The following is a 13633-nucleotide window of genomic DNA, read 5'->3' on the forward strand; positions in this document are numbered from 1 at the left end:
ATGACACATGGATCAGTGTAAGAAAATGTGCTATTATTCTGGTCATAATGGAAAACAAGATATAGATTTGTAACTGACATGGTTTCAGCTTTTAACTAAATATTTCTCTGGAGCTCCATTTGAATCAAAAGGACATTCTGCATAGAAGTATTCTTCCTACAGAAGGAAGAACTGCCATATGGAAATGGACATTGAGCCAGAGTCTAATCTTACATCATTCAATGAAAATCCTCCTACAATCATGATTAATAGCATCCTGATTTATGCATTTTCCATTAGAGTTATGTTAACTGAAAATCTAGCTTCACACATAAAACCATCAAACTAGAATCATTCTCTATTTCTTCTTACTATTCATTTGTATATCCTTGAGTCCATTCCAAGGAATTCTTTTCTATTTGATTTGTTGTTTCTGAGCCTGTCACATAACTTGAAATAAAAAAATGAAATCTTGCCCAATTTCTCAATGATCACAGACAGTCACACCTCCTTAAACAATTATCTTTCAACTAGCCTCAGATTAAAATTTTAGAACCACCTTTAAAATTTCTTTTCATGCCAATGTCCTGAATGGTATTGCCTAGGTTTTCTTCTAGGGTTTTTATTGTTTTAGGTCTTACGCTTAAGTCTTTAATTCATCTTGTGTTAATTTTTGTATAAGGTGTAAGGAAAGGGTCCAGTTTCAGTTTTCTGCATAAGGCTAGCCAGTTTTCCCAAAACCATTTGTTAAATAGGGAATCCTTTCCCCATTGCTTGTTTTTCCTATGTTTGCCAAAGATCAGATGATTGTAGATGTATGGCATTATATCTGAGTCCTCTGTTCTGTTCCATTGTTCTATATATCTGTTTTGGTACCAGTACCATGCTGTTTTGGTTACTGTAGTCTTGTAGTATAGTTTGAAGTCAGGTAGCATGATGCCTCCAGCTTTGTTCTTTTTGGTTAGGATTGTCTTGTCTATATGGGCTCTTTTTTGGTTCCATATGAAATTTAAAGTAGTTTTTTCTAATTCTGTGAAGAAAGTCAATGGTAGCTTGATAGGGATAGCATTGAATCTACAAATTACTTTGGGCAGTATGGCCATTTTCACGATCTTGATTCTTCCTATCTATGAGCATGGAATGTTTTTCCATTTGTTTGTGTCTTATTTCCTTCAGCAGTAGTTTGCAGTTCTCCTTGAAGAGGTCCTTCACATCCCTTATAAGTTGTATTCCTAGGTATTTTATTCTCTTTGTAGCAATTGTGAATGGGTGTTCACTCATGATTTGGCTCTCTGTTTGTCTGTTATTGGTGTATAAGAATGCTTGTGATCTTTGCACATTGATTTTGTATCCTGAGACTTTACTGAATTTGCTTATCAGCTTAAGGAGATTTTGGGCTGAGATGATGGGGTTTTCTAAATATACAATCATGTCATAAAACACCAGAAGCAATGGCAACAAAAGCCAAAACTGACAAATGGGATCTAATTAAACTAAAGAGCTTATGTACAGCGAAAGAAACTACCATCAGAGTGAACAGGCAACCTACAGAATGGGAGAAAATTTTTGCAATCTATCCATCTGACAAAGGGCTAATATCCAGAATCTACAAGGAACTAAAACAAATTTACAAGAAACAAACAACCCCATCAACAAGTGAGCAAAGGATAGGAACAGACACTTCTCAAAAGAAGATACTTACGCAGCCAACAAACATATGAAAAAAAGCTCATCATCACTGGTCATTAGAGAAATGCAAATGAAAACCACAATGAGATACCATCTCATGACAGTTAGGATGGCTATCATTAAAAAGTCAGGAAACAACAGATGCTGGAGAGGATGTGGAGAAATAGGAACGCTTTTACACTGTTGGTGGAAGTGTAAATTAGTTCAACCATTATGGAAGACAGTGTGGCGATTCCTCAAGGATCTAGAACCAGAAATACCATTTGACTCAGCAATACCATTACTGGGTACATACCCAAAGGATTATAAATCATTCTACTATAAAGACACATGCACACGTATGTTTGTTGTAGCACTGTTCACAACAGCAAAGACTTGGAACCAACCAAAATGCCAATCAATGATAGACTGGATAAAGGAAATGTGGCACATATACACCATGGAATACTATGCAGCCATAAAAAAGGATGAGTTCATGTCCTTTGCAGGGACATGGATGAAGCTGGAAACCATCATTCTCAGCAAACTAACACAGGAACAGAAAACCAAGCACTGCATGTTCTCACTCATAAGTGGGAGTTGAACAATGAGAACACATGGACGCAGGGAGGGGAACATCACACACTGGGGCCTGTCAATGGGTGGGGGCCAGGGGAGGGATAGCATTAGAATTACATGTATACTTATGTAACGGACCTGCATGTTCTGCAAATGTATCCCAGAACTTAAAGTATAATAATAATAATAATAATAAAATTTCCTTTAAAGTTTTTAATATCATTTGTGAGGGCATTCAGTGCATATTAGCTCTGGTCCAATGAAGAGAGATAGGAACTAAGCATGGAGGAGGCTGGGCACGGTGGCTCATGCCTGTAATCCTAGCAATTTGGGAGGTCGAGGCAGGCAGATCACCTGAGACCAGGCTGGCCAACACGGCAAAACCCTATCTCTACTAAAAATATAAAAATTAGCCAGGCCTGGTGGTGCATGCCTGTAATCCCAGCTACTCGGGAGGCTGAGGCAGGAGAATCGCTTGAACCTGGGAGGCGGAGTTTGCAGTGAGCCGAGGTCACGCCATTGCACTCCAGCCTGGGTGACAGAACGAGACTCTCTCTCAAAAAAACAAACAAAAAAAAGGCGTGGAGAAGCTATGGTGCTTCCTATGGCCTCTTCTGCCCCAGTGGAGAGGGTAGTGGACGGCAGGGAGAAGGAACTGTATTGAAAACATTTTTGCTTCACATAATCCAGAACCTGATCTCATGAGTGACAAGGCAAGTTAACTTTTCAATGTGGTCTTTGTTAACTATTATTCAAAGGCTCTGAAGAAATAGGAAAATATAACAACTTTCCCTCACCTATTTGTCAAGCCATAAATAAGAGGCTAGGTTATAGCATGTGGCACCAACCATTCTGAAATCATCTTACTTTCTTCTTTCATGGGGCTGTAAAATTATATGGTGCATTCTCAATTTACTTAGGAAATGGCTGGAGGAAAAAAGCTTAGGAAATATTCATTTCCTATGGAACACAGGAAATCTGCATAACCTTCTCTCTATCTCTTTCCCTTAACTTTTGGGTTTAGGCCAATATTTTTTAACTCATTAGCCTTTAACTGAGCAGTTGTTTAACACATCTGAGGGTTGTTTAGGTTGTCATTTTTCACATAATCAGTGTGTGCAAACTAAAGTGGAACTGTACACAGTGACAGTGGCTTTCTTTCATTCATTCAACATGTTTACTGAGCACCTACTATGTTCCAGGCACTATGCCATGTATTGGAACTACCAAGAGAAATAGTCCGATCTCTGCACCCATGAAGAATAAAGTCCAGCAGGAGAAGCTGAAAACAAATGTCATGGTTGAGGGAATAGATACTCCATCTCCATAAAGTGATTCTTTCACATTGCATGCCTGTAACAAAGTATCTCATGTACGCTGTAAATGTATACACCTACTATGTACCCACAAAAATTCAAAATAAAAAAATTTAAAGAAAACAAACAGCAGTGATAATAGAGTATATGAAGGAAAATGCCAGAGGGATGCACCCGGAACTGTGGGAGTTAGAGCATCCCCCATTTAGGTGGCGTCATTGTTGAGAATGGCATCTCTAAGGAAGGCACAGCTAAACTGAACCTGAAAGATGAGAAGGAGTTAGCCAAGCAAAAAGGAAAAGGGAAGTGGAGGATGTTCCCAATAGATCCATAATATAGTCTACACACCAGCACCATGCAAACAAAAGAATTGTGCTAAAAAGATTTTTTAAAACAACTATCCATGTTTAAATTACATCACTGAAATAACTGAAGAATGAGTTGGCATGGTATCTGGTTCCGTGTGCTCTTGAACAACTAACTGGCGGATGACAATGTTCCAGCACAACTCCGGGCACAGATAGAGTGGCACGGATCAGAGCTGAGGCTCAGAAATGACTGTCAGAAGCCATTTCATGTTGTGAAAATCTCATGAATTTCCTGAAACAGGTCATTTATACTCCAGATGAACAGACAGGAAGATAAATGTAGGAAGAAGGGTGGTGGGAAAGCAAGCAGAGGACACCAACAGATGTTTCCAAAAGAGTGTATACACAACTTTTCCTTCACTTTCTATAGCTCCTGTTGCAACAAATCCTGTTGACAAGCACTGTTGCAGTTCTACAAGAATGCCCTAGTAAATACAAATGATATTCTTAAAAGTATTGTATGATGCTTTTTCCTTGCATTTTAAGGACATGAATAGGCATATCAAATTCATACCTGTTATGAAGATTGATAAGCAGAATTTATCCAATTGAGTTTATGTTACTAAATATTTATATTTTTGGATTGAGTTTTTCTCTACTTTTAGGCTAAATCCAGAGGTTTTCAATCCATGCAAGATGACAACAGAGATATAATACATCCTTCAATAATCCACATAAAGCTTAGCACAATGCCTGGCATGTAAGAAGTGTTCAATGCTCAATAAATGTTAGCTATTATTATTGTTGATATGACCTCTTTACAGAAAATAAACAGAAAATGTTTTCTGAGACATGTACACTCTTTTAAAATCAACAATACAAGCACATGATGAAAAAAACAAGTAGTTCACAAAATCTTATAATGAAAAACAATGGTGACTTGCTTCCTCCTGCCCACAGCCTCTCTTCTTATTCCTCAGACACAAATAATTGCCTTTCACTTTTTCAGCTGTTCCATCAGGTGTTTGCTTTCCTATTTTTAAATTATAGACTATACCTTTTTATTGATTAACTCATTCCAGGCATTATCAATTGACATCTTTCCATGGCAGATGAGGATTTAGGTCTCTTGCATCATTTCCTTTAGTCATTCACTCAAGAAATAATAATAGCTAATATTATTATTTTGAGACAGGGTCTCTCTCTGTGGCTGTGGTGCAATGGCATGATCAATCTTGGCTCACTGCAACCTCCACCTCCTGGGCTCAAGCCAATCTCCCACCTCAGCCTCCCAAGTAGCTGGGACTATACAGGAACACACAATCACACCAGGCTAATTTTTTGTATTTTTTGTAGAGACGGGGTCTCACTATGTTGCCCAGGCTAGTCTCAAACACCTGAGCTCAAAAGATCTGCCCACCTTGGCCTCCCAAAGTGCTAGAATTACAGGCATGATCCACTATGCCTGGCCAACTCAACAAATAATTATTGAACACCTAGAGTGCCAAGCACTTATCTAGGCACTGAGGATACAGCAGTGAACAAAACTGACAAAAATTCATTGCCTGCAAGAAGTTTACATTCTAGTGGGGAAGAGAGACATTAAACATGTCAGAGGGTTACATGTTCAATGGAGAAAAATTTAGTTGGTGAGGAGGATATGGAGCACTGGCTAGAGAGGACTACAGCTTAAATACTTTGGTCATGAAATGCCTCTCTGAGAAGTTGATATTTGACAAGACTCTAACTTTGGGAATTTTCTGATGTTGTTTCTTTGATAAGCTCCATCAGGTCATTTAAGGACTTCTCTACACTGGTTATTCTAGTTAGCCATTCGTCTAATCCTTTTTCAAGGTTTTTAGCTTCATTGCCTTCATTTTCTCTCTTCTACTTTTTTGGATACCCTATTAATCAAATGTTGAACTTGCTGGTTTAATCCTCTACAATGCTTGGATTTTCTTTTCTATCTTTCTCTGTCTTTGAGTTTTTGTTCTATTCTCTGGGAGATTTTCTTGACCCATCAGTGTGCTGTATTCAGGAGACTATCTCATGTGCAGACACACATAGGCTCAAAATAAAGGGATGGAGGAAGATCTACCAAGCAAATGGAAAACAGAAAAAGGCAGGGGTCGCAATCCTAGTCTCTGATAAAAAAAAAAAAAAAACGTTAAATCAACAAAGATCAAAAGAGACAAAGAAGGTCATTACATAATGGTAAAGGGATCATTTCAACAAAAAGAGCTAACTATCCTAAATATATATGCACCCAATACAGGAGCACCCAGATTCATAAAGCAATTCCTTAGAGACCTACAAAGAGACTTAGACTCCCACACAATAATAATGGGAGACTTTAACACCCCACTGTCAACATTAGACAGATCAACGAGACAGAAAGTCAACAAGGATATCCAGGAATTGAATTCAGCTCTGCACCAAGTGGACCTAATAGACATCTACAGAACTCTCCACTCCAAATCAACAGAATATACCTTCTTCTCAGCACCACATTGCACCTATTCCAAAACTGACCACATAGTTGGAAGTAAAGCACTCCTCAGCAAATGTAAAAGAACAGAAATTATAACGAACTGTCTCTCAGACCACAGTAGAATCAAACTAGAACTCAGGATTAAGAAACTCACTCAAAACCACTCAACTACATGGAAACTGAACAACCTGCTCCTGAATGACTACTGCGTACATAACGAAATGAAGGCAGAAATAAAGGTGTCTTTGAAACCAATGAGAACAAAGACAAAACATACCAGAATCTCTGGGACACATTTAAAGCAGTGTGTAGAGGGAAATTTATAGCACTAAATGCCCACAAGAGAAAGCAGGAAAGATCTAAAATTGACACCCTAACATCACAATTAAAAGAACTAGAGAAGGAAGAACAAACACATTCAAAAGCTAGCAGAAGGCAAAAAATAACTAAGATCAGAGCAGAACTGAAGGAGATAGACACACAAAAAGCTGTTCAAAAAAATCAATGAATTCAGGAGCTGGTTTTTTGAAAAGATCAAAAAAATTGATAGACCACTAGCAAGACTAATAAAGAAGAAAAGAGAGAAGAATCAAATAGATGCAATAAAAATGATAAAGGGGATATCACCACCGATCCCACAGAAATACAAACTACCATCAGAGAATACTATAAACACCTCTATGCAAATAAATTACAAAATCTAGAAGAAATGGATAAATTCCTCAACACATATACCCTCCCAAGACTAAACCAGGAAGAAGTTGAATCTCTTAATAGACCAATAACAGGCTCTGAAATTGAGGCAATAATTAATAGCTTAGCAACCAAAAAAAGTCCAGGACCAGATGGATTCACAGCCGAATTCTGCCAGAGGTACAAGGAAGAGCTGGTTCTATTCCTTCTGAAACTATTCCAATCAACAGAATAAAAGGGAATCTTCCCTAACTCATTTTATGAGGCCAGCATCATCCTGATACCAAAGCCTGGCAGAGACACAACAACAAAAAAATTTTAGACCAATATCCCTGATGAACATCAATGCAAAAATCCTCAATAAAATACTGGCAAACTGAATCCAGTAGCACATCAAAAACCTTATCCACCATGATCAAGTGGGCTTTATCCCTGGGATGCAAGGCTGGTTCAACATATGCAAATCAATAAACGTAATCCAGCATATAAACAGAACCAAAGACAAAAACCACATGGTTATCTCAATAGACGCAGAAAAGGCCTTTGACAAAATTCAACAGCCCTTCATGCTAAAAACTCTCAATAAATTAGGTATTGATGGGACGTATCTCAAAATAATAAGAGCTATTTATGACAAACCCACAGCCAATATCATACTGAATGGGCAAAAACTGGAAGCATTCTCTTTAAAAACTGGCACAAGACAGGGATGCCCTCTCTCACCACTCCTATTCAACATAGTGTTGGAAGTTCTGGCCAGGGCAATCAGGCAGGAGAAAGAAATAAAGGGTATTCAATTAGGAAAAGAGGAAGTCAAATTGTCCCTGTCTGCAGATGACAGGATTGTATATCTAGAAAACCCCTTCGTCTCAGCCCAAAATCTCCTAAGCTGATAAGCAACTTTAGCAAAGTCTCAGGATACAAAATCAATGTGCAAAAATCACAAGCATTCTTATACACCAATAACAGACAAACAGAGAGCCAAATCATGAGTGAACTCCCATTCACAATTGCTTCAAAGAGAATAAAATACCTAGGAATCCAACTTACAAGGGATGTGAAGGACCTCTTCAAGGAGAACTACAAACCACTGCTCAATGACATAAAAGAGGACACAAACAAATGGAAGAACATTCCATGCTCATGGATAGGAAGAATCAATATCATGAAAATGGCCATACTGCCCAAGGTAATTTATAGATTCAATGCCATCCCCATCAAGCTACCAATGACTTTCTTCACAGAATTGGAAAAAACTACTTTAAAGTTCATATGGAACCAAAAAAGAGCCTGCATTGCCAAGAGAATCCTAAGCCAAAAGAACAAAGCTGGAGGCATCACGCTACCTGACTTCAAACTACACTACAAGGTAACCAAAACAGCATGGTGCTGGTACCAAAACAGAGATATGGACCAATGGAACAGAACAGGGCCCTCAGAAATAATACCACATATCTACAACCATCTGATCTTTGACAAACTTGACAAAAACAAGCAATGGGGAAAGGATTCCCTTTTTAACAAATGGTGCTGGGAAAACTAGCTAGCCATATATAGAAAGCTAAAACTGGATCCCTTCCTCACACCTTATACAAAAATTAATTCAGGATGGATTAAAGACTTAAATGTTAGGCCTAAAACAATAAAAACCCTAGAAGAAAACCTAGGCAATACCATTCAGGACATAGGCATGGGCAAGGACTTTGTGTCTAAAACACCAAAAGCAAAGACAACCAAAGCCAAAATTGACCAATTGGATCTAATTAAACTAAAGAGCTTCTGCACAGCAAAAGAAACTACCATCAGAGTGAACAGGCAACCTACAGAATGGGAGAAAATTTTTGCAATGTACTCATCTGACAAAGGGCTAATATCCAGAATCTACAAAGAACTCAAACAAATTTACAAGAAAGAAACAAACAACCCCATCAAAAAGTGGGCAAAGGATATGAACAGACACTTCTCAAAAGAAGACATTTATGCAGCCAACAGACACATGAAAAAATGCTCATCATCACTGGCCATCAGAGACATGCAAATCAAAACCACAATGAGATATCACCTCACACCAGTTAGAATGGCAATCATTAAAAAGTCAGGAAACAACAGGTGCTGGAAAGGATGTGGAGAAACAGGAACAATTTTACACTGTTGGTGGGACTGTAAACTAGTTCAACCATTGTGGAAGACAGTGTGGCAATTCCTCAAGGATCTAGAACTAGAAATACCATTTGACCCAGCCATCCCATTACTGGGTATATACCCAAAGGATTATAAATCATGCTGCTATAAAGACACAGCACACATATGTTTCTTGCAGCACTATTCACAATAGCAAAGACTTGGAACCAACCCAACTGTCCATCAATGATAGACTGGATTAAGAAAATGTGGCACATATACACCATGGAATACTATGCAGCCATAAAAAAGGATGAGTTCATGTCCTTTGCAGGGACATGGATGAAGCTGGAAACCATCATTCTGAGCAAACTATTGCAAGGACAAAAAACCAAACACTGTATGTTCTCACTCATAGGTGGGAATTGAACAATGAGAACACATGGACACAGGAAGGGGAACATCACCTACCGGGGCCTGTTGTGGGGTGGGGGGAGTGGGGAGGGATAGCATTAGGAGATATACCTAATGTTAAATGACAATTTAATGGGTGCAGCACACCAACATGGCACATGTATACATACGTAACAAACTTGCACGTTGTGCACATGTACCCTAAAACTTAAAGTATAATTTAAAAATATATATATATATATATATATATATATATATATATATATATATATATATATATATATTTAAAGAAAATGTGGCAAAAAAAAAAAAAAAAAGAAAAGAAAAAAGAAGTCTAACACATAAGGAAAAAAAAAATTTTCTGTAACCCTTACTAGTATGTAAGCTCCTGGGGCAGACACCACATGAAGTATATCTGTCTCTGTATTGTGAGTCCCAGGCACATTGCCCGACACATAGTAGGTGCTCAATAATGTTTGAGGAAGGAAGATGAATTTCAGTAAAGGAAATAGAATTTATTAAGATTTATTAAGATCTCCTATCCCATCCCCTCCTGGAGATTATTTCTTTCTCTTTCTTCCACGTGGCTATCTTTGACACTTATGCTTACCTTCCCTAGGCAGTGTCATATGTTCTGAAACCTTCCTGCAGCATCAAACACCTGTCCTATGTCACATTACCACTGGGACTCTGCCCTCTTCTGGTCAATATGGGAACTGATCTTTTTTTTTCCTGATGCTATTTTAATGGATGATTAAGGGCTAACCTATTTTCCTTCTTTGTCTGTATTTCTATCTTAATTGGCAATTTCTGGAAAAACAAGAACTAGCCCCAAAGTAAAGACTTCAATCCATTTCTGTTTAGTAATATGTATATAAACCAAGCCAATTACCAAATTCATGAGGGATGAATCCATGTATACAACCATGGCAGTCTTCTTTCATGAATTTAAGACCTATTTATTGACTACCTATGTTAAAACAAAAACTTCCGCTGAATTAAATTTAAAGGAGTCTAATTGAGCAATGAGCAATTCATGAATCGGGCAGCCCCCAAGATCACAGCAGATTCACAGATACTCCAGGAATGCCTATGGTCAGAACAAATATATAGAGAAAAAAAAAGGAAGTGATGTACAGAAATCAGAGGTGAGGTACAGAAACTGCTGGATTGGTTACAGATTGCTGTTTGCCTTATTTGAACACAGTTTGAACACTCAGCAGTGTACAAGTGGTTGAAGTATGGCTGCTGGGATTGGCCAAGTCTCAGCTATAGTTTCAGGGCATATTCCTAAGTTAGGTTTTCAATCTTGTCGGCCTATTAAGTTAGGTTGCAGTTCACCCACAAGGACTTAAATAAAGAAGTACAGAGTCCTTCTCAGGCAATATTTAGTTTGCTTTAACAAATCCCCACTTTTGGTCATTTTTCTCAATTTTGAGGCATTAACCAAAACATTAGTCATTGATGTCACTATCACCATTGTAAATGTACTTATTTGGTCTTGAAACCCACTAGGAAACAGTAGAACAGTGAGTTTTGCAAAGGTAGGAACAAGGGCTTGAGTACAAGTTACCTCCTTTTGCTGGAATATTCTGTTTACAGGAGAAAAATGAAACCTGGTCTATTCTAAGATGTATGTGTTTGCTTAAAATCTTAGTTTGATTATATCACATGTAGCATGAGCGACTCCATTTTTGTTTGCTTTGGTCTGCTGGGGCCTAGTGCATGAACTCAGTCCAAAACAATGGCCTCCTGTAATTTTGCTTTAAAAAATCTCCCTTTTTGCGTCAGGTTCTCACTTAGGTGAGAGTGTGACCAAAACTTAGGGTCTTAGTGCCACACTCAGTTACCATCATTTTGGGTTTCCAGTCTCAGCATGTCATTCATAGGTTACAGTGTCCTTACGGTTGAACACTTCTTTCAGCTCTTGTCATTGCAGTGAAGACAGACCATTTGACATTCTAGAGATGGCTGCATGCAAACATTTAAAACCTTCGAGAGAATACAGTATGCCAGGGAGACTGTTATTATGACTTTGGGGAGGATAATACCAAGAATTTGGAGTATGCTCCTTACTAGGGTCCCCACAAACCAAACCACCTAAAATCAAATAGATTAGAGAATGAGCTAGACAAAGAGTCTACTCACTTAACTAAGCAGTCTCTTCGTTAATCCCCTACAAGTGAATCTCTATAATCTACATTTGATGTATTTCTCCATAGGCCACGAGGGCCAGCAGCTGCACAGATACTTTTCTGTTCAGCCACTAAATAATCTAGAGCAATTCTATTATTTAGCATAACTTTCAGAAGAGAATTTAAGTCTGTTGTGTAACCATAGCCTTTATAGTAGAATCTGCTACAGAGCCTGTCATGAGGGATACATTTCTAATCATTGTCTGTTTTATTCCAAGCCATGAAAAAAGAACCTAACAAATGATGCCTCTCTTGAAGAGTGAAGGCCTCCTGGCAATGTTCTCTTTAACCCATGATGTGGGTTAAGAAGAGTGAACCAATGTTCTGTTTTTGAGTGATTATGAGGCAACATATGTACAACTAAAGTTTCTTATCTACATTAGGACTTTTTTTTTCTTTTTTTTTTGAGATACAGTCTTACTCTGTTGCCCAGGCTGGAGTGCACTGGTGCAATCTTGGCTCACTGCAGCCTCTGCCTCCCGGGTTCAAGTGATTCTCCTGCCTCAGCCTCCCAAGTAGCTGGGACTACAGGTGCACCACCACGCCCAGCTAATTTTTGTATTTTTAGTAGAGATGGAGTTTCACCATGTTGGCCAGGATGGTCTTGATCCCCTGACCTTGTGATTTACCCACCTTGGCCCCCAAACTGCTGGGATTACAGGCGTGAGCCATTGCCCCAGCCAGGCCTTCATTTTTTTATCTATCAAAGTATAAGGTTATCCATGTATACGGCTGGTTGCAAAACCCTTCACAAATAAAAGCATAACCCATAAGTGCACACAACAGACCCCCTTTTCATTTCTATTGTTCATAGACACATAAACAAGGAGAAAAAATTCAAAGATAAGAGTCTCATGAGAGTAGAGAAGTCTTGATCCATGATCTCGGGAAAAGCTGCTCACATCAAGGATGCCATCTTCTGGAGAGAAACTTTCCTGGTTAGCTTTACCTTAAGGATTCCAGCGGGTGTACAGTTCCAAGAGTGTGGAGGGACCCTTCTCAGTTGTGACATTATGAACCCAAAGTTCAAGTGTCCAAAGTCTTGTTGTAGTGTAAATGGCAAGGGCAGTCTTTCCCTGATATTTTCAGAAGATCCCGTTTTCAGGTTCTAGTTTGTGAAGGAGTTGACTGTCCTCAGTAAAACATAAAAAGCTTTCTTTAGCTGGTGAAATTACAATGTAGCATAATAACGTACTGTTACAACATCAGTCCTCTTGCATGAGAGAACTTTTCTATAACCAGAAAACATGCATTGAAAATGACAATTGAATGAAATCCCTTTATAAAATGTTTAAATGGACCATCAGGTAACCAAATGTACCTGAAGTTTTGATTGTTTTCCCAGGAATATGGGTTTGACAAACCAAACACTGGTTATACACTATTTATCAATTTATAAGTTACCACACCAATATATTTAATTTTGATTATTTTATCTTTTCCATGATGAGTTATGGAATGCAGGACTTTTAATAACAAAAGCTTTAAGGGCTCAGGAAGGACAAGGCAGCTGTCCTGGTCCTCCAAGTATCCATCCTTAACATTGGACTTATGTTCTCTTGAACACCAGTTGTTTTTCCAATTTAGGTGCATAGCACTGATAACTGATAGGTTACCACAGGTAATTTGACTTAGACCACGGAGCTCATTCAAATTGCATATATAAACAATTTCAGTATTGGCTGATTTAGGATGAAAATCTGGCAAAGTATTTTCTTGGTATTTAATTAATTTTTGTTCTACATGGGTTAGTAGTTTTATAACCCAGTCAGTCTTTTCTGTAACATTCCAGGAATTTTTACCCAGTCCAAATGATATGATTCTAAAGTTATCAGAAACCTGTATTCAGGAGTGCTTTTCAAGGTTCTT

General features: G+C 38.3%; 2 annotated features.

The window, feature by feature from the left end:
- Positions 9929-10500: a silencer, noted in NCBI's record as "S1 fragment used in the reporter construct". NCBI's record gives its function as "represses activity of a beta-globin enhancer-driven SV40 promoter in transfected K562 erythroleukemia cells {active_cell/tissue: K562}" and the evidence as "EXISTENCE:reporter gene assay evidence [ECO:0000049][PMID:30886051]".
- Positions 10077-10371: a silencer, noted in NCBI's record as "tiled region #11483; HepG2 Repressive DNase matched - State 12:CtcfO". NCBI's record gives its function as "represses a minimal TATA promoter and a strong SV40 promoter by Sharpr-MPRA in HepG2 cells {active_cell/tissue: HepG2}" and the evidence as "EXISTENCE:reporter gene assay evidence [ECO:0000049][PMID:27701403]".

This window comes from Homo sapiens, chromosome 12 (genome assembly GCF_000001405.40).
Source record: "Homo sapiens chromosome 12, GRCh38.p14 Primary Assembly".
Classification (NCBI taxonomy): Eukaryota; Metazoa; Chordata; class Mammalia; order Primates; family Hominidae; genus Homo; species Homo sapiens.